The sequence below is a fragment of the Homo sapiens genome, chromosome 6, assembly GCF_000001405.40.
Source record: "Homo sapiens chromosome 6, GRCh38.p14 Primary Assembly".
Lineage (NCBI taxonomy): Eukaryota > Metazoa > Chordata > Mammalia > Primates > Hominidae > Homo > Homo sapiens.
In genome coordinates, this window is record NC_000006.12 from 118,506,691 (window position 1) to 118,527,855 (window position 21,165).

The 21,165-nt window shown below is 36.5% G+C and overlaps 1 protein-coding gene across 14 annotated transcripts in view; it reads right to left on the reverse strand.

The window, feature by feature from the left end:
• The window catches only part of CEP85L (centrosomal protein 85L), a 249,318-nt gene that overhangs the window by 45,919 nt on the left and 182,234 nt on the right, over window positions 1-21,165 (reverse strand). For all 14 annotated transcript variants that reach the window (XM_011535811.2, NM_001178035.2, XM_011535810.3 and 11 more), the window contains 2 exons: window positions 17,112-17,230; window positions 4,608-4,725 (listed from right to left, as the gene is read on the reverse strand). In XM_011535811.2, coding sequence (XP_011534113.1) covers window positions 4,608-4,725; window positions 17,112-17,230 — 237 coding nt within the window. The remainder of the gene's footprint in view (window positions 1-4,607; window positions 4,726-17,111; window positions 17,231-21,165) is intronic.

Consider the following 21,165-nt stretch of genomic DNA (forward strand, 5'->3'; position numbering starts at 1 on the left):
GCACCATAGAAATGTGTTTTGTAGCAAGACAAGCTGTAGTTGAAACTCTATGTGAACTTAATCATATAGAAAAACAAAAATCTGAGGTCAGATGTTTTAATTTCTACATTTAGTAACATCTTTTCAACCTTTATCTGCCTTCTCTGACTTTTATACAACGGTTCCCTTTCTATGGAAAAACACTTGCTTGCTTTCCTTTCTAGAACAACTCCCTCAGGCTCCTTCACAAGTTGTGCTCTTCTGCTACCTTCTAAAATGCTGCTGTTTCCTGTTTCTAGTTCTGGATCCCATTTTCCTCTCATTGCACAAATCCTCCCTTGGAATACCTGATCATGCCCAAGGCTTTAATAACCACCCACCTAGACTGACAACACCTAAATCTCTTATCTCTGGCTCAGACCTGCACCCACAAATATTACCCTCATTCTTCACTCAACCCCAAATTTACAATGTGTAAGTTTAACTCACTATTTTTCTCCTCTAAACAGATCCTTAACATAGTAATCTCTATAAACCAATCAATTGTTGCTGTATGAAATTAGGCAATCATTCTCTCACCACATTAAATATGTCATTAAATCTGGCCCATTTTACCATGGCTTGGTCATACAGATGTTTAATCAACAGTCTTCTTCTCATTCTGACCACTACAGATAAAATTCAAATGTTCACATAACTTTTGGACTATTGAGACAGCTTCCTGACTGGTTTCCCTGCCTCCAATAACATCTACCTTAAATCCAATCTCTATTATGCCATCAGAGTAACCAAACTAGGATACTTTGGAGGTGAAAGATGGCACTATTAATAAATTTATAAGCACAGCAGGCATAAACTGGGCCAGCCCTAAGCAAACCTTTACACCTCAGGTCATTGATATCACTCGGCCCTTGCTTACCTCTTCAACCACATATCTACCACTACCTTTCTCTCACATTACATTTCATCCACACAGAATAATTTGTAGTTTTCCAAATGCATTATATTTCTCATCATTCCTTTAAGCTTCTCCATATGCCATACACTATGCCTCAAAACACTATTCCTTCACCCCCTTCACCTGGCTCAATTCATTTAGTTCATCAGGTTCTCAAACTAGATTATCACTTCCTACAGGAAGCCTGGCCAGGCTTTTGGAAGATTAGCTTCTATGTTCATAGCTGGGGTTCCCACAGCACTTCATACATAAACCCTGTGCGAATCAACACACTGCAACTATCTCTTGTCTGTGTTCTCCATTAGACTACACATTCCTTGAGGGCAAAACCAGCTTCATTCACATTTCTATTGCTACAGCATAAATGGAACCTTATCCATAGTTAAGATAAACAATTTTTAAGGAAATGGATAAATATATTTTTTGGTATACTCTCTCTGTAGGGTTTAAGTTCCATAAAGGCAGAAACCATTCTTTGCTTTTGTGTTCCCAGAATTTAACACATTAGATGTTTAATGTTTTGTTGAGGAGGCTCATTTGCAAAGGTGGGATTCATTTTATTAAATGTTCATTAGTACAGACTTGGTGGTGGAAACAAACCAATTGAAGAAAAAATAGAAAAAAATGATATAAATGGAAAGAAAAAGAATAAAATGGAAAGAAAAGAAATGATGCAACAATGAAACTTAATAATAGTAACTATTATTTGGTTGATCTTTCCAAGGTACACATATATACAGAAAGAAGAGACCTCTTTCTTCTCCAATTTAAGTAAAGAAAAAGGGTCCTTCATATTTGGTTTATTCCACAAAGTCCTGTTAACCACAGATGGAAATTTAGGTATAAATGGAAATACAAACTATTCCTTGGCTCTACCAATCTACCATTAGAACTATCCAGAAAGTTTGGATTTTAGAATAAAGACATGGTTCTCATTCTCTACCTATGAGACTGAGTGATATCTACTTCTAAGGTCATCTTAATTGTAAGGTTAGTCAAATTTTTAATAAGAAAATAGAAGTTACTTATTAAGAGTATGTTTTCCATCTATAAATTCATTTAAAAATGTTACTTTTATTTTACTGACTTATTTACTCTAGAATACACATTAATTTCAATAATTATTATTAAAAGCATAATTTTCTTTGTCTAGTGTCTATAGAATTAGGATGAATATGTTATGGATCAGAAAAATGTACCTATACAAAATGCTATGCATAAAAAATTACATCATTCAAAGATCCAAAGTTAAAAAAATCCTTCGCTAAAGAAATATTTTATTACTCTATCTGCTGTTTCTTCTAACCCTCACCATTTTATTGGCTCTCTGTATCTATCCATTGATAGAAGTTTATCTTATATATTTATCATACCCATTTAGTATTAAGATTTTCCTTGTATTCTCTTTTACAAATTGCTCTCATCTTTTAAAATCAGATTTCTCAATAATATTTCAATTCCTCACATACTTCAAAATCCTACTAATATTTTTAACAACCCCTTTTACATATCCTTCCAAATACTAATATTTTTATTTGTCCTTGCACGCTGGCTTGGAGAGCCCTCTACTGGCCTGATGCTGTGTCAAAAGAACATTTGCTTCATCCTTCAGATACCTATTTTTTACATGCTTTCGATAATATGATAATTATATAATTAAAGCCTTTATTCCGAATGACAGAATGTTAAAGAGAAATTGAACAATTCTACTAAAATGCTGTTACCAAAGCAAGATACACTACTTCCATAGTATAGAAATACCATTTTCAAATAACTGTACATTATTCTCAGTACTCATTATAAAGCCTTGCTATCATGTGACAGAAGTCCAAGATGAGACCAAATTATAACATGATGTATTCATAACTAAAGTATAAAAGGCAAGTTGGAGTCTCTATGTTAAATGCCTCTGGCCTCAAGAAAATCTGATAGTTATTTTCTCATCAATATTTCCTGATTTTAATATACCAATGTCTCTAGTATTTATAAATATCACATTTGAAGATATGATGAAGGAAACAATTCCACTTAACTTAAAATCTAGGAATAAAGGCCGTAATGAAGAGAACAACAATAACAACATCCACAAATAGAAGTATATACCACCACAAAGTTATCAGGCCTCACTTTAGATCCCAATAAGTACGCCAACAGTCTTTTTCTTTGGGAAATAAACCAATATAAAGTTTATATAAAAATAAACATGCAAACAAGTTTTAAAGGAAGCTCTTTTTAAAACTGAGTAATAATTAAGGAAAGTAGCCATTCCAGTCATATAAATTTTGTTAACGGGCCTCATAGACTCTATATCTGTGTTCCAATTAGACTATACTCTCCTTATGGGCAAAATTAACCTCATTTACATTTCTATTCATATGGCGTAGACACTGTCTTACCTACAGTGAATACAAATAAATTTAGAAGGAATAGACAAACTTGTTTTCCTATATGGTCTCTCCCTCTGTAAGTTTTGAGATCCATGAAAGCAGGAACTATTTTTCACTTTTGTGACATCAGAATTTAACACAGTGGATGTTATGTCACTGTTTGGTTAAATAGGCTCATTTGTAAAGGTGAGATTCATTTATAAAATACTCATTAGAATCAGACCTCATTGTAGAAAAAATTACATAGAGGAAAAGGAAATAATAATATAAACAAAATATTGAGACAAAATTGGAAAATTTATTTTCAAATTAAATTATAGACAAAAAGCTAATTTCCTTTATATATACAGGGCTCCAAAAAACAATAAGCAAAAACCTACAACCTAACATAAAAAATGATCAAAGGATATGAAAAGAAATGTGAATGGGCCCTTAAATTTATAAAAAGAAATATAACATCACTCTTAAGAGAAATACATATTAAAACCATATGACCATAAGGAGATAAATCTCCCCTTTCTTTTATATAGACCTACTAGAAGGGCAAAAATCCAAGTTTAATAACACACTCTGTTAGCATGGCTGGGAGTTGGGGAGTGGGACGGTGAGAGTTCTTATACACTGCTCTCCTAAAGAGCAATTTGACAGTATCAGTAAAAATCACAAACTCAATACCTAGAAATTTCACTTCTGGAAATGTAACTTACAAGAATATCTGCATATGAGCAAAACAGTATTTATAAAAGGTTATTCTTTACAGCATCATTTACAATAACCCTAAACTGAAAACAACTCAAATTTTGATGAGTAGGGGGCAGGTAGAATAAATTATGCTATCTCCATAAAACAGAAGATCGTGTAACTGCAAAAGCAAGGGAAAGGGGTGTTATCTAGGTAATGATAGAGAAATAATCACTGTGTGTTATATAATTGTATATAACATTTAAAAAAAAGCAAGGTGCCAGATAATGTACATATTCTTATATTTTTTTAAATGCAGAAGAAGGATAAAACACACTTATATCTGCTTGTGATATGCATCAACTCTGGAAGGGATACACCAGAAACTGACAACAGTAGTTCCTGTATGTGTGTGGAGAGGGGTGTGCAATCTGGACAGATGGAAGGCTGTAGTTGGACACTCTTTGCCACACATATAAATAAATATAAATCATGTGAATACATTATTAAGTTGATTTAAAATGTCCTTATATTACAAGGTAAGTATATTATTAACACAAGCTTTACTACTAAAACAGCTACAAAATCCTCTGTAATCTTACCTGCAAACTAGCCACATAAGAATCCTCACAATTTACATAATGTCCTAACATGGCATGTTGAGCCCGTAATTCATTATCCCTTATCCTCTCATGCAGGTGGGTAATTTGTTGCTTCTGCCTGCAAAACATAAATTAAGGTCACATTATGAGTTATAATTTTCTAATAGTTAGAAGAACCTTAAGGAGCTTATTCCTCTTAGATTCCTTTAATATTCCTCTTAGATTCTAACAGTCACACCTTGCTTTCTTCAACAACTCATAGCTTGCTTTAAGCAAGTTATTTAATTTCTGTAAATATGTATGCTTAGAAATTTTAAAACTGTTTTGTGCCAGGCATGATGCTAAGAGCTTTGTATGCAGTATCTCTCATCTTCAAAAATTTATTAACTCTCATGATGAAGTTTTGAAGGAGAGAGCTTTTAAAGAATAATAAAGATAGTATGAGTAAACAAATAGCTTGATGTTTTCCAAAATTACTTACAAAGTAACTTTTGGAACAAGTAAGTTGTATGTTTCAGGTTGCATCAAAAGACCTTGTTCTACTCAGGATGATTTCTAAAATTTGCTAACCTTTAAGAAAATCCACATATAAAACATTAAATAGGAGATAAGTCAGGAGAGATTCGTCATATAACACTTTTCAAATAATTTAAAGCTTTACAAGAAAGAAAAAAAAAAAAACCCTTCCTTTTCCAGCCAAGGTGCAGTAGCAGGCAGGGACTAGTTTTGCCCTCATGCCTGAAACAATTTTTTAAAAAAGACAAAATATAGGAAGTGAAGACTCTCAAGGCATTGGGCCACCAGGCAATTAAGAACAGTAATCTCTTAGAGATAGGTAACTAATGAGGTGGGCCCTATGACTGACTGCACTTCCTGCTGAGAGAGTTTTCAAGCCCCAGCACAGGAATGGTGGTCTCCCTGAATTGAAGACACAAAGCTGAGAATCTGGAGAAACCAAGGCAGCTGTAGTTAGTTCACAGTACTCGATAACCCTTGGGCACTCGGTTGAATACTAATTAATACAGGCATGAGGAAGCTACCGACGGTGTGTGTAGAGTGGAAGGGCAACCAAAAAAAATATTACAGGGAACAGTGCTTCAGGGTGCCTTGGAATTACTGGCTATTCCCAACTGCCAGAATAAAAAGCTTCATGATTCCCAGGGCATCAGCAATTCTCAACTGGGGACAGTTTTGAAACCAGTTAACATTTAGCAACATCCAGAGACATTTTCAATTTTCACAACTGGGGCAGAATGTTACTGGCATCTAGTGAGCAGAAGCCAGAGATGCTACTAAATGTCTACAATGAACAGGATAGCCACCCTCAATAGTGAATTATCTGATCCAAAAAAAATCAACAGTGCTGAGGCTGAGAAACCCAGGGTTTGTAAGATGAGTCTTGTCTCAGTGGGGAAAAAATAACCCTTGATAAAACAGCTCTAATGCCACCTAACAAAACTTAAAAGCAAGTACAAAAACTGCTTCCTAGAATAAAGTTCAGGAATACAAAAATGTAATATCAAAAACAAGTTAAAATTCATAATGCCTGGCATCAAAAAATTATTGGGAGTACAAAAAAAGCAGAAAAAATGTAACTCATAATAATAAGAAAATCCAATCAACTGAAAGTGAGCTAGAACTGACAGAGATGTTAAAATAGACAAGGATAGTAAATCAGTTATTATAACTATTCATATGCTTAAGTTAGAAGAATGAACGAACATGTTAAGAGGAGACATACATGACAAACAACACACTGAATGGTGATTAAAACATTAGACATTACAGCACAAAAGTACAGTAAATTTAAAAACAGCAATAGAAACTATCTAAAAAGAAACACTAGAGAAAAAAGGACAAAGAAATAAAACAAAAAAGCTCATAGTATCAGTGAGCCGCGAGATTATAAGAGGCCAAATACATGTACAATTGGAATCTCTAAAGAGGAGGTAAGAAGGTGGCAGGGGGTGGGAGTAGGGGACAGAAAAAAAATATTTGTGTATAACAGGCCAAAATTTTACCAAATCTGATGAGAACTATACACCCATAGGTTCAGGAAGCCCAGTGAACCCCAAATAAAAGTAACATGAAGAAATCTAAGACAAGGTACATCTAAATCAAATAGATTACAGTGATAAAATCTTAATAGCAACCAGAGGGAAAAAAGATAAATCCATTCAAGGAGACAAAGATGAAGAGGATGGCAAATTTCTCAACTGAAATAATGCAATCAATAAGACAATGAAGTACTTTAAGTACTAAAATTTAAAAGCTCTCAACCTAAAATTTTTGACATGAGAAAAAATTTGAAAACAACACAAAAAGCATACAAAAAAAACCTGTTAACCTATAATACTTCACCCACAGAAAATATTTTTTTAAAGGTTAAATAAAGATCTTTTTTGGAAACTTAAAAGCTGAAAGAATTGATCACCCCAGACTTCAACTACAAAAAAAATGATAAAGGAACACCTTGAGGTAAAAGAACAATATACCAGATGAAAACCTGAATTTACACAAAAGAAAGAAGAATACCAGAAATGATAAACACATGGGCAAATAAATACATAAGATATTTTTCTTATTATTTAAATCTCATTAAAAGATCATAAATTGTTTGAGGCAAAAAAAAATTTATATCCACGTTGTATAACCTTTGTAGATGTAGAATGTATGACAAAACAGCTCAAAGGCTAGAAGAGAAAAAAATGGAACTATGCTTTATAAGATTCTTACATTATACATAAAATAGTATAGTATTACTTGAAGATAGACTGCTATACTTTAAAATATATTATAAACTCTAAAGCAATCATTATAACAATAGAGGTATAGCTAACATGCCAATAAAGAGATAACAGGAATTGTAAAAAAATATTCAACTAATTCAAGAGAAGGCAAAGGGGAACAAAGATCAGATGGGACAATAAGAAAACAAATAGCAATGCCAGGCACAGTGGCTCACATCTGTAATCCTAGCACTTTGGGAGGCTGAGGCAGGTGGATCACTTGAGGTCCGGAGTTCAAGACCAGCCTGGCCAGCATGGTGAAACCCCATCTCCACTAAAAATACAAAAATTAGCTGGTCATGGTGATGCATGCCTGTAGTCCCAGCTACCTGGGAGGCTGAGGCAGGAGAATGGCTTGAACCTGGGAGGCAGAGGTTGCAGTGAGCTGAGATCGTGCCATTGCACTTCAGCCTGGGAGACAGAGCAAGACACTGTCTCAAAAAAAAAAAAAAAAAAAGAAAACAAATACCAATATAGGAGATTTAAACTTGACCATATCAATAATCACAACATGTAAATGGTTTAGATACTCCCAAACAAAAGGCAGACATTGGCAGAATGGATAAAAAGTAGGACCTAACTATATACTATCTACAAGAAAGAAAACCATTCTGAACATAAGGACACAAACAGGTTAAAAGTAAAAAGAGGAAAACCTGTGCTAAAAATAATCAAAAGAGAGCCAGAGTAACTATATTAATATTAGTAGAAGCAGATTTTTTTTTTTTCTATTTTAGAGACAGGGTGTCACTCTGTCACTCAGGCTGGAAGGCAGCGGTGTGATTAGAGCTCACTACAGCCTTGAACTCTTGGGCTCAAGCCATCTTCCTGTCTCAGCCTTCCAAATAGCTGGGACTATATATAGGATCCACTGTGCCCGGCTAAGTTTTTTTTTTTTTAATTTTGTGAAGGTGAAATCTCACTATGTTGCCCAGGCTGGTCTCAAACTCCTGGCTTCAAGTGATCTTCCCGCCTCAACTTCTTGGTGTTGGAATTACAGATGTGCGCCAACTTGCCAGGCCAAAACAGATTGTTAGAGCAGAGAATATTGCCAGGGACAAAAATTATAACTTAATAATAATAAAAAGATCAATTCATTAAGACGTCATGACATTTGGGCCTAAGAGCACAGTGTCTAAATACATGAAGCAAAAAAACTGATAAAACAGAAAAGAAACAGATACATCCACAATTGTAATTGGATATTTTGACACCTGGATCTCAATAATTGACATTAATAGAACAAGTAGACAGAAAATCAAGAGAATATAAAAGACAAAAACACTATCAACTGATTTGTACTAAAAGGAATTTCTAGAATACTCCCCACAAAAGACAAAAGCAGCAGAATACACACCCTCTTCAAGGATACATGAAACACTTATTAAAACAGATGATCTTCTGAGCCATGAAACAAGCACCAACAAACTTAAAAGAATTCAATTCATATAGAATATATTCTTGGACCACAGTGAAATTAAATCAGAAAACAATTACAGACAGAATTCTAGAAAATCCTGAAGTATTTGGAAACAATGTAACATAATTGTAAATAACTTTAGGGTCAAAGAAGAAATCAGAAGATAAACTAAGTATTTTGAGGTGAACAAAAATGAAAACCAAACAAATTAAAATTTGTAAGATATTGATAAAGAAGAACTTAGAAATTTATTTTTTATTTTATTATACTTTAAGCTCTGGGGTACATGTGCAGAACGTGCAGGTTTGCTACATAGGTATACACCTGTCATGGTGGTTTGCTGCACCCACATCATCTACATTAGGTATTTCTCCGAATGCTATCCCTCCCCAAGACCCCCACCCCCAGATAGGCCCTGGTGTGTGATATTCCTCTCCCTGTGTCAGTGTGTTCTCATTGTTCAACTCCCACTTATGAGTGAGAACATGTGGTGTCTGGTTTTCTGTTCCTGTGTTAGTTTGCTGAGAATGATGGTTTCCAGCTTCATCCATGTCCCTGCAAATGACATGAACTCATCCGTTTTTATGGCTGGGCATAGTATTCCATGGTGTATATGTGCCACATTTTCTTCACCCAGTTGTATCATTGATGGGTATTTGGGTTGGTTCCAAATCTTTGCTATTGTGAATAGTGCTGCGATAAACATACATGTGCATCTGTCTTTATAGGAGAATGATTTATAATCCTTTGGGTATATACCCAGTAATGGGATTGCTGGGTCAAATGGTATGTCTGGTTCTAGATCCTTGAGGAATTGCCACACTGTCTTCCACAATGGTTGAACTAATTTACACTCCCACCAACAGTGTAAAAGTGTTTCTATCTCTCCACATCCTCTCCAGCATCTGTTGTTTCCTGACTTTTTAAGGATCACCATTCTAACTGGTGTGAGATGGTATCTCATTGTGGTTTTGATTTGCATTTCTCTAATGATCAGTGATGATGAGCTTTTTTTCACGTTTGTTGGCCATATAAATGTCTTCATTTGAGAAGTGCCTGTTCATATCCTTCACCCACTTTTTGATGTGGTTGTTTTTTTCTTATAAATTTGTTTAAGTTATTGTAGATTCTGGATATCAGCCCTTTGTCAGATGGATACATTGCAAAAATGTTCTCCCATTCTGTAGGTTGCCTGTTCACTCTGATGATAGTTTCTTTTGCTGTGCAGAAGCTCTTTAGTTTAATTAGATCCCACTTGTCAATTTTGGCTTCTGTTGCCACTGCTTTTGGTGTTTTAGACATGAAGCCTTTGCCCATGCCTATGTCCTGAATGGTACTGCCTAGGTTTTCTTCTAGGGTTTTTATGGTTTTAGGTCTTACGCTTAAGTTTTTAATCCATCTTTAGTTAATTTTTGTTTAAGGTGTAAGGAAGGGGTTCAGTTTCAGTTTTCTGCATATGGCTAGCCAGTTTTCCCAACACCATTCATTAAATAGGGAATCCTTTCCCCATTGCTTGTTTTCATCAGGTTTGTCAAAGATCAGATGGTTGCAGGTGTATGATGTTATTTCTGAGGCCTCTGTTCTGTTCCATTCGTCTATCTGTCTTCGTACAAGTACCATTCTGTTTTGGTTACTGCAGCGTTTTAGTATAGTTTGAAGTCAAGTAGCGTGATGCCTCCAGCTTTGTTCTTTTTGCTTAGGATTGTCTTGGCTATCTAGACTCTTTTTTGGTTCCATATGAAATTTAAAGTAGTTTTTTCTAATTCTGTGAAGAAAGTCAATGGCAGCTTGATGGGGATAGTATTGAATCTATAAATTACTTTGGGAAGCATAACCATTTTCACAATATTGATTATCCCTATCCATGAGCATGGAATGTTTTTCCATTTATTTGTGTCCTTTCTTATTGCCTTGAGCAGTGGTTTGTAGTGCTCCTTGAAGAGGTCCTTCATATCCCTTTTAAGTTCTATTCCTAGATATTTTATTCTCTTTGTAGCAATTGTGAATGAGTTCACTCATGATTTGCCTCTCTGTTTGTCTGTTATTGGTGTATAGGATTGTGATTTTTGCACATTGATTTTGTATCCTGAGACTTTGCTAAAGTTGCTTATCGGCTCAAGGAGATTTTGGGCTGAGACGACGCAGGTTTCTAAATATACAATCATGTCATCTGCAAACAGAGACAATTTGACTTCCTCTCTTCCTATCTGAATACTTTTATTTCTTTCTCTTGCCTGATGGCCCTGGCCAGAACTTCCAATGCTATGTTGAAGAGGAGTGTGAGAGAGGGCATCCTTGTCTTGTGCCAGTTTTCAAAGGGAATGCCTCCAGATTTTGCCCATTCATTATGATATTGGCGGTGGGTTTGTCATAAATAGCTCTTATTACTTTGAGATACACTGCATCAATACCTAGTTTATTGAGTTTTTAGCATGAAGGGGTGTCGAATTTTATCGAAGGCCTTTTCTGCATCTATTAAGATAATCGTGTTGTTTTTGTCATTGGTTTTATGTGATGGATTACATTTATTGATATGCGTATGTTGAACCAGCCTTGCATCCCAGGGATGACGCCGACTTGTTTGTGGTAGGTAAGCTTTTTGATGTGCTGCTGGATTCGGTTTTCCAGTATTTTATTGAGGATTTTTGCATCGATGTTCATCAGCAATATTGGCCTGAAATTTTCTTTTTTTGTTGTGTCTCTGCCAGGTTTTGTCATCAGGATCATGCTGGCCTCATAAAATGAGTTAGGGAGGATTCCCTCTTTTTCTACTGTTTGAAATAGTTTCAGAAGGAATGATACCAGCTCCTCTTTGTACCTCTGTTAGAATTTGGCTGTGAATCTGTCTGGTCTTGGACTTTTTTTGGCTGGTGGGCTATTAATTACTGCCTCAATTTCAGAACTTGTTATTGATCCATTCAGGGATTTGACTTCTTCCTGGTTTAGACCTGGGAGAGTGTACGTGTCCAGGAATTTATCCATTTCTTCTAGATTTTCTAGTTTATTTGCGTAAAGGTGTTTATAATATTCTCTGATAGTAGTTTGTAATTCTGTGGGATCAGTGGTGATATCCCCTTTATCATTTTTTATCACATCTATTTGATTCTTCTCTCTTTTCTTCTTTATTAGTCTGGATAGCAGTCTATCTATTTTGTTGATCTTTTCAAAAAACCACCTCCTGGATTCATTAATATTTTGAAGAGTTTTCCAGGTCTCTATCTCCTTCAGTTCTGCTCTGATCTTAATAATTTCTTGTCTTCTGCTAGCTTTTGAATTTGTTCGCTCTTGCCTCTCTAGTTCTTTTAGTTGCGATGTTAGAGTGTCAATTTTAGATCTTTCCTGCTTTCTCTTGTGGGCATTTAGTGCCAGAAATTTCCCTCTAAACACTGCTTTAAATGTGTCTCAGAGATTCCGGTACATTGTGTCTTTGTTCTCATTGGTTTCAAAGAACATCTTTATTTCTGCCTTAATTTCATTATTTACCCAGTAGTCATTCAGGAGCAGGTTGTTCAGTTTCCATGCAGTCGTGTGGTTTTGAGTGAGTTTCTTAATCCTGAGTTCTAATTTGATTGCACTGTGGTCCGAGAGACTAAATGCCTATACCAGAAAAAAAGAAAGCTCTCAAATTATCTCAGCCTCCACTTTAAGAAGTTAGGGGGAAAAAAAGGGCCAGGTGTGGTGGCTCATGCCTGTAATCCCAGCACTTTGGGAGGCCGAGGCGGGCAGATCACGAGGTCAGAAGTTCGAGACCAGCCTGGTCAACATGGTGAAACCCTGTCTCTACTAAAAATACAGAAATTAGCTGGGTGTGGTCGCGGGCTACTGGGGAAGCTGAGGCAGAAGAACTGCATGAACCCGGGAGGCGGAGGTTGCAGTGAGCCAAGATCGCGCCACCGCACTCCAGTCTGGGTGACAGAGCAAAACTCTGTGTGTGTGTGTGTGTGTGTGTGTGTGTGTGTGTGTGTGTGGCGGGGGGGGGTTGTGAAACTCCGTGTGCGTGTGTGTGGCGGGGGGGTTGTGAAACTCCGTGTACGTGTGTGTGTGTGTGTGTGTGTGTGTGTGTGTGTGTGTGTGTGGCGGGGGGGGGGTGTGAAACTCCGTCTCAAAAAAACAAGTTAGAAAAAGAAGAACAAATGAAACCCAAAGTAATAAATAGCCCTATGTATATTACAGAAATTGGGTTTTTCGTTGACCTTTCAATACAGAAAGATCAGGAGGGTCAGGAGTCTTCACTGAAGAATTCTGCTGAAAGTTTAGGAAATAAAAAATACTAGTTGTACACAAGGTACCCCAAAAACCAGTGAATAATTCCCAACTCTATGAGGCCAGCATGACCAATATCTAAACCAGATAAATACATTACAAGAAAAGAAAAATACAGACCAATATCTCTTATAAATATAAATGTAAAAATTCTTAACAAATGGAATCCAAAGATAGATAAAAAGGAAAATACATCATAACCAAGCGGGTATATCCCAGGAATAACATGGTAGGTTTTACATCTGAAAATTCATCAGCTACCTAGAATAGAAGTAGTTTCCACAATCTAAAAAAGGCAACTACGAAAAACAGCTAACATCACACTTAATGGTGAAAGGCTGAAGACTTTCACCTAAAACAAACTAGGGACAAGAGAAGGAAAAGGATGTTTACTCTCACTGCTTCTATTCATCACTGTATTGGAGGCTCTATTTACTTCAGTAGAAGGCAAGAAAAGGAAATAAAAAGACTCTATACTGAAAAAGTAAATCCACCTTTAATCACAGACAACATGATCGTTTATGTAAACAATCCTATTGAATCTACAAAAAAATACCTACTTAAACTAATAAGTGAGATTAGATTGCAGGATACAAAACCAATTTTATTTCTATATATTTAAGAACGTTTTGAAAATATGCATTTTTTAATCGACATAATTGTCATATTTGTGGGGTATAATGTGATATTTAGATACATGTATATAATGTATAGTGATTAAATTAGAGCAATTAGCATATCCATCATCTCAACCTTTATCATTTCTTTGTGCTGTTAACATTCAAATTACTCTCTTCTAGCTATTTGAAAAAAATATAATTATTGTTTATTATAGTTACCCTATAGTGCAACAGAACACTAGAACTTCTATCTAGCTGCAACTTTCTATTCCTTAACCAACCTCTCTGTATTCGCTACTTCCCCCAGCCTTCCCGCCTCCAGTAACCACTATCCCAAACTCCACTTTTACGAGCTAAACTTTCAAAAAACTTCATTTTTGCTTAAGTGGTGAGACTCCTTCACCCAGTCAGTTAAGGAGATCGAAATGCAAAAGGTCAAGCACTACTCAATCACCTAAATGGTTATAGTGGCAAATGTTTTTCTGAATTGTTCCTGAAGTTAATCTATACACTTTTTCTCATGAGATGGGGAGCATTTAGGAACAGTTTCTATAGCAGTTATTTTTCCCATTTTCTCTGCTTTAACCTAATAATCCAGTCTCCTCCTATGAAAGTTATACGCAGTGTGAAAAAAAACACATTTTTTCTCATGTAATTTTGGATAATATATTTTCAGAAGTAATATACAACATATAATTTTTACTTAAGTGATTTGAAAGGTATCGCTGACCACACCATATCCCAAACTAAAAAGTTCGGCAGGTTTACTTTCAATTCCATCCAATTGGACACCAAATCCCATGAAGTCTGGCTCTGAAATAGCCTCTACATGTGCCATCAACATTTTAAAGGCCATTACTCTCATCTGCTTCTTCAAAAACAGAAATGTTATATATTTGATTCCAATTTAAGTACTATATATGTTATAGAAATTTGTATATACAAACATTTTTACTTTTAAATGACAGTTATGCTGCTTTAGAAACAAAAGCTGCTTAGTTTCTCTTCTGTTTTATACAATATCAAATGCACTGATTATCAAAAACTTTATAATAAACTCATAAAGAAACCAAAGATTATTTAAGATACTGGGTAGGTTATTTACTAAAATGCCTCCATTATTACCCTTCCTATATTACTAATGCCTCCTGTCAACGTGATTTTGCTGTTTCCACTGGCCAGAAGTGAAGTCCACTACTGGTCTAGTGACTAACAGAATATAATGGAAGTGATGTTGAGCCAGTTCTGAGTCTAAGCTTCAAGAGACTTCGTATGCTTCATTCTTTCTTAGAATCCCACCCAGCCACCACTCGAACAAACCCAGGCTAGCCTCCTGCAGGATGACAGAACATGTGGAGTAAGACAAGCCATCCTGCCGTGGCCCATCCTATGCCACCCAGCCCCCACCTGCTACCACAGACGCATAAATAAGCCTAGCTAAAGAATTAGCCAAATGAGCAACTTGAGTTATTTTGAATTATTCCTTAGTCTGATTCTACAATATATAAAATTGAGAAATATATATTTTATTATATTATGTCAATAATTTTCTGCATTTTCTATTAACTTATATCCAATGGAATGGTATTCAAAAAAAAATAACATCAACTGATTTCCATTGTTTGAGGGAGGGCAAATCCATGTAAGTAAAACTGAACTTTAGTCCATTTTTTAAAAGTATTAATTTCAGGCCGGGCATGGTGGCTCACACCTGTAATCCCAGCACTTGGGGAGGCAGAGACTGGTGGATCACCTGAGGTCGGGAGTTCGAGACCAGCCTGACCAACATAGAGAAACCCCGTCTCTACTAAAAATACAAAATTAGCCGGGCGTGACGGCGCATGGCTGTAATCCCAGCTACTTGGGAGGCTGAGGCAGGAGAATCACTTGAACCCAGAAGGTGGAGGTTGTGGTGAGCCGAGATCATGCCATTGCACTCCAGCCTGGGCAACAAGAGCGAATATTAATTTCAATTATATAAAATTGCACCTATATTAAATTATAGGTATTAAAAATACACATCCAACTGGGCCTGTACTTATTCGTATATAACATTCACTTGTACCAGAAACAACTAATATTTTTAAGTAGCTTTTTCCTAAAATCAATTAAAACTATCTTCCACAATCCTTCATTTATCAAGTATGGAAGTATCAAGTTTTAAGGCATATACTAATACCAGGCTCTTTTCAAAATGTTGGGAATAGGCTGGGCATGGTGACTCATGTTTGTAATCCTAGCACTTTGAGAGACCGAGGCAGGTGGATCACTTGAGGCCAGGAGTTCAAGACAATACTGGCCAACACGGCAAAACCCTGTCCCTACTAAAAAATACAAACTTTAGCCAGGTATGGTGGTGCACAGCTGTAATCCCAGCTACTCAGGAGGCTGACGCACAAGAATCACTTGAGCCTGGGAGGTGAAGGTTACAGTGAGCTGAGATGGCACCACTGCACTCCAGCCTGGGCGACAGACTGAGACTCCCAAAAAAAAAAAAAAATTGGGGGAATATAGTGGAGAACAAGAAAATGCAGATATCTGTGGTCTAGTTTATATTCCAGTAGATCTTCATTAACAATGCTAAATTTCTAAGCAAAATCTTGTGAAATTTCAACTATTAAATGCGTTTAAAGGTTGAAATTAGAATTTTAAGGCTAAAACACCTACTGCGTTATCCTATGCAAGCATATGAAAATAAGTAATTACGAGCACTGGTTAAGAAAAAAAGCCTCCTGGAATTGCTTCCCAATTATCATGATATACAACATATTTAATTATCCCAAAAGCATACATAAATGATGTAGAATATACGTTAAAGAAAATATAATGATGTAACATGAAGGTTTACTGCTCACAATACTCAGGAGACTGTCTATTAAGTATAAATAATTTTTTTTCAGAGCTTAGGTACTCAAACCCTTAAACATTTTAGAACGTCCCCCAAAACTGCCATAATTCTTAACTATAAGTCATTTCATTTTACACATTCGTCATTTTTGTAGTTTCTGTGGCTTCAGACCTAGCATACATTAAAGGAAATGACTGCTTTAAATTAGCTTTCCAACTGGATAGTTCTCAAGGGTTAAAACACGAAGACATTATCTTGTAGCTCTAATAGCTGATTAGCATTGCAGCTAACCCGCTACACGTACAGAAAAGACAGAATGGAGCTTCCAAATAATGAAATAATTCACTAAAATGAATAGGAGGGATGACAGAAATCAGACAGATAAACCATCAGTTCTAACAGTACTTCTTTAAAGGATTGGGATTGAGGAGGGGCAGAGATGTGACATCAATGAATCTGTAAGGTTCTAGATCTTAAATTCTATGTAGTGGACATAAAGTTAATTGTTTCATTAATCTAAATTTCTGTAGGCCTGAAATATTTAATAATTTAAAATAGACTCACCGATCGATTACAATTTCTTTCTGCCTTAGAAGTCCTTCTTTTATTTTCAACATTGATTCCCACTTACTGAAATCCTGATAGCCAGGTGAATAACTTTGACGAGATGATCCAGTCAAAACCTGCAGAAACATGTTTACACAATTAGTATACTAAAATATTTAAAGAAAATATTTATATATTATCATATTTTCCCAAAGATTTATATTAAAAAAAAAGAACTCCCTCTTTGATTTTTTAATACTTTCGGAAATCACACTATGAATACAACATAACTTGGACAATTTCAAGGAAGTTCTAAAGGAAATGTATACATCTAATGAAGAATTAATGACAACAGAACGTTTATCCTGGCAAATTATAAAACTATATAAGATCTTGGCCAGGCGCGGTGGCTCACGCCTGTAATCCCAGCACTTTGGGAGGCCGAGGTCAGGAGATCACCACCATCCTGGCTAATACGGTGAAACCCCATCTCTACTAAAAATACAAAAAATTAGCCAGGCGTGGTGGCAGGCGCCTGTAGTCCCAGCTACTCGGGAGGCTGAGGCAGAAGAATGGCGTGAACCCGGGAGGCGGAGCTTGCAGTGAGCCGAGATCACGCCACTGCACTCTAGCCTGGGTGACAGAGCAAGACTCTGTCTAAACAAACAAACAAACAAACAAAACCATATAAGATCTTATTCCCATTACCTTGTGGAAGTGGAAGTGGAAGTTTTCTGGAAATGAGATTAATCATTAAGGGAGTAATACAATGTAGGAATGTGCCATGGCTTAACTAGACAAACATTAGCAGGAGATTTTCCACAAGAAAATAAAAGCAGTATCTGTAGTATTCAGACTTCAAGTTGACATGCATCACATCATCATTTAGTTACATTAGAATTTCAAAATCACAAATATTTTCACTCAGTAGTGAGACAACCAAATGCCTAGGCAGATAAAAAGGGGTCCTTGGAGAATCTCTGACCCACTCCACAAGTGTGCAGATGCTTCTGTGCAGATGAGGAAACCTGCCCAGGGCTCATGTGGGCATGCCCATAGCTGACTGGAGCCCAGCATGCGTTCTGGGGGAAATGGGTGGAGCCATGGGGAATTCCTGCCTTATGCGGGGGAGGAGCCTGCTCTCTTCAGCTCACCTGGTGACCTGGAAATCAATCTGTGAGGTGGAGGACCTGTTAGCAGGGCTCTATCTTGCTTTGATGATTGTTTGTTTGTCTGTTTCTTTTTTCCTTTTCACCCAATAAATTCCTTTCCAATCACCCTTCAAGGTGTCTGCATGCCTAATCCTCCCTGGTCGTGTGACAAGAACCCAATTTTTTTCTACAACAGTAGTAAGTATATCCATAGAAAATGGAAAATATATAACCATCTACTAAGTAGATAATTTGGATGAAATATATCACTTAGAAAAAATTGCTTAGAATGTAAGAAAGGTTTCAGATATTTAAATAAACCAACGGTAGAAACTAACATGGCAGATATCCTTATATTTCTTCCGTTGAAAAAGCAGCAAACATTTAAAAATATTGGTGTTATAGGTTTGACTGTATTCCTTAAAAAGATAAGTTGAAGTCCTAACCTCTTGTAACTTCAGAAAGTGATCTTATTTGGAAATAGGGTCTTTGCAGATGAGTCAAGCTAAGATGAGCTCCTTAAGGTAAGGCCTAATTCAATGTTTGGTGTCCCTAAAGAAAGGGGAAATTTTGGACCTACGTACACAAGGAAGACTATGTGAAGAGACACAGAGACAATGCCATGTGAATATCAAAGTAGAGATTGGAATGACACATCTACAAGACAAGGAAAGCCAAAGACCAAAAGCTAGGAGAGAGGCATGGGACAAATTCTGCTTCACAGTCATCCAAAGGAACCAACTCTGCCAACACCTTGATTTCTAACTTTCAACTTCCAGAACTGTGAGACAATTTCTGGTGTTTAAGCTAGCTCATTTGTGATACTCTGTTATATCATCTCTAGGAACCTAGTATAACTGGTAAATCAAATAGGAACACAGTTCTTTGGCAAGCCAAAAGATGTATAAACACCACAAAGCAACTTCAAGAGAATTCAAATGTGTAGTGATATTTTTATCCTTTACTTTCCAAAAATGCTATTAATAAGACCTTCAAAATAAACCAGTAATTGCATAACATCAACCAGTCACAGATTAACTCTTTGAGATGACTGTCAAGTAATATTAGGATGGGATGTTTCATGCAGGAGACAGGATAGGATGAACAGACTAAGGATAGAGATCAGTTGAAAAGAAGGCACATACTTTTGTCAGATGGGAAGATATTTCAAAAGTGACACATAGTGTTACAGGGGCAGGTTAGACATCTGCCTCTGAATTTCATTCTCTCCCTTGCCTAATATACAATAAGGGCTGATATTCAGCCAGTATGCATCAGTACAGATAATGTTAGCTGTTAGAATACTGAAGTAGTTTCACTGTGGTTGGTAACTAACTGCTGTTTACACCACTGTGCGGACTGTCTCTTTCACTGTCCAGGCCACTCTCCAGAATGCCCCATGATCCAACAAATAACACAGTTACTCCCCAGCACAAGTGACCTTCAGGACCCCGCTCCATCCATAAATAGGCATCCTTTCTGATTAGCTAGTTCTTGTACAAGTCAGTCCCGCAAAATCTTCCCAGTTAAACACTACCTACAATCTTATTTATACTTAATTGGCAGAGCTAACATTCAAACCCAGGCAGCCCAACAAAGGAGCACCTGATCTTAAGGACCACATTATTCCACTGCTTCTACTATTGAGACAGGTTTGCAGCAGAACTGGTTTCACAAGATACAGGTCACAAAGACCTGGCTTATAAAATAGGATGGGGTAAAAAAGCTGGCCAAAACTTGCCAAAACCAAGACAGCCATGAAAGCGACCTCTGGTCATCTTTACTTCTCATTATATGCTAATCATAATACATTAGAATACTAAAGTAAACTCCCACCAGTGCCATAACATAGTTTACAAAGGCCATGGCAAAATCCTTAAGTCACCCTATATGGTCTGAAAGGTGAAGGAGAATTCTGGGAATTCCTTGCCACTTTCCTGGAAAATTCATGAATAATCCACCTCTTGTTTAGCATATGATCAAGAAACAGCCATAAAAATAGCCAACCAGCAACCCTCAGGGCTGCTCTGCCTGTGGCGCAGCCACTGTTTCATTCCTTTACTTTTTCTTTTTTTTTTTTTTTTTTTTTTTTTTAATTGAGACGCAGTCTCACTCTTGTTGCCCAGGCTGGAGTGCGATGGCGCGATAGAGCTCACCGCAACCTCTGCCTCCTGGGTTCAAGCGATTCTCCTGCCTCGCCCTCCTGAGTAGCTGGCTGTAGAACCATGCCCAGCTAATTTTGTATTTTTAGTAGAGACGGAGGTTTCTCCATGTTGGTCAGGCTGGTCTTAAACTCCCAACTTCAGGTGATCTGCCCGATTCGGCTTCCCAAAGTGCTGGGATTACAGGCATGAGCCACCGCGTCCGGCTCTACTTTCTTAACAAACGTGCTTTCCCTGTACTGTCGGCTCGCTGTTTTCCTTCCCGCACAAAGCCAAGAACCCATGTGGCCTCCCAGGCTGAACCCTAGTTTTGGGGTTTTCCCTGTGGCACTATGGCCTAATTAGGTGTTCCAAATTTCATCATAAGGACTAGAAAACTGTTTTGAAAGTAACTGTTCTCAGACTGTGAGAAAAAATTTAACACTATAAACAATATTATTAACAGAAACTCTCTACTTAATGAAACTCCGCATTACCTACTGATTATCAATTTAATGGGTAAGTCATTTGATAAAATCTCTTTTGTCAAACTGTGGCTCAAACAGGAAATTTATTAAAGCTAGTAAAAGCTAAACAAAAGAGCATTATCACTAATTCCAAAACTCAAAGTAGGATTTGGAAATGCTTAAAATGATGTGGTGAATTATTAAATCTGCTATAATTTATAATACTAATATTTCATTTACTTGGGAGATTAAAAATAAATATCTATTTTTATTTACCTACTGAGTTATACATTATTTAAATCCTAATAACAGT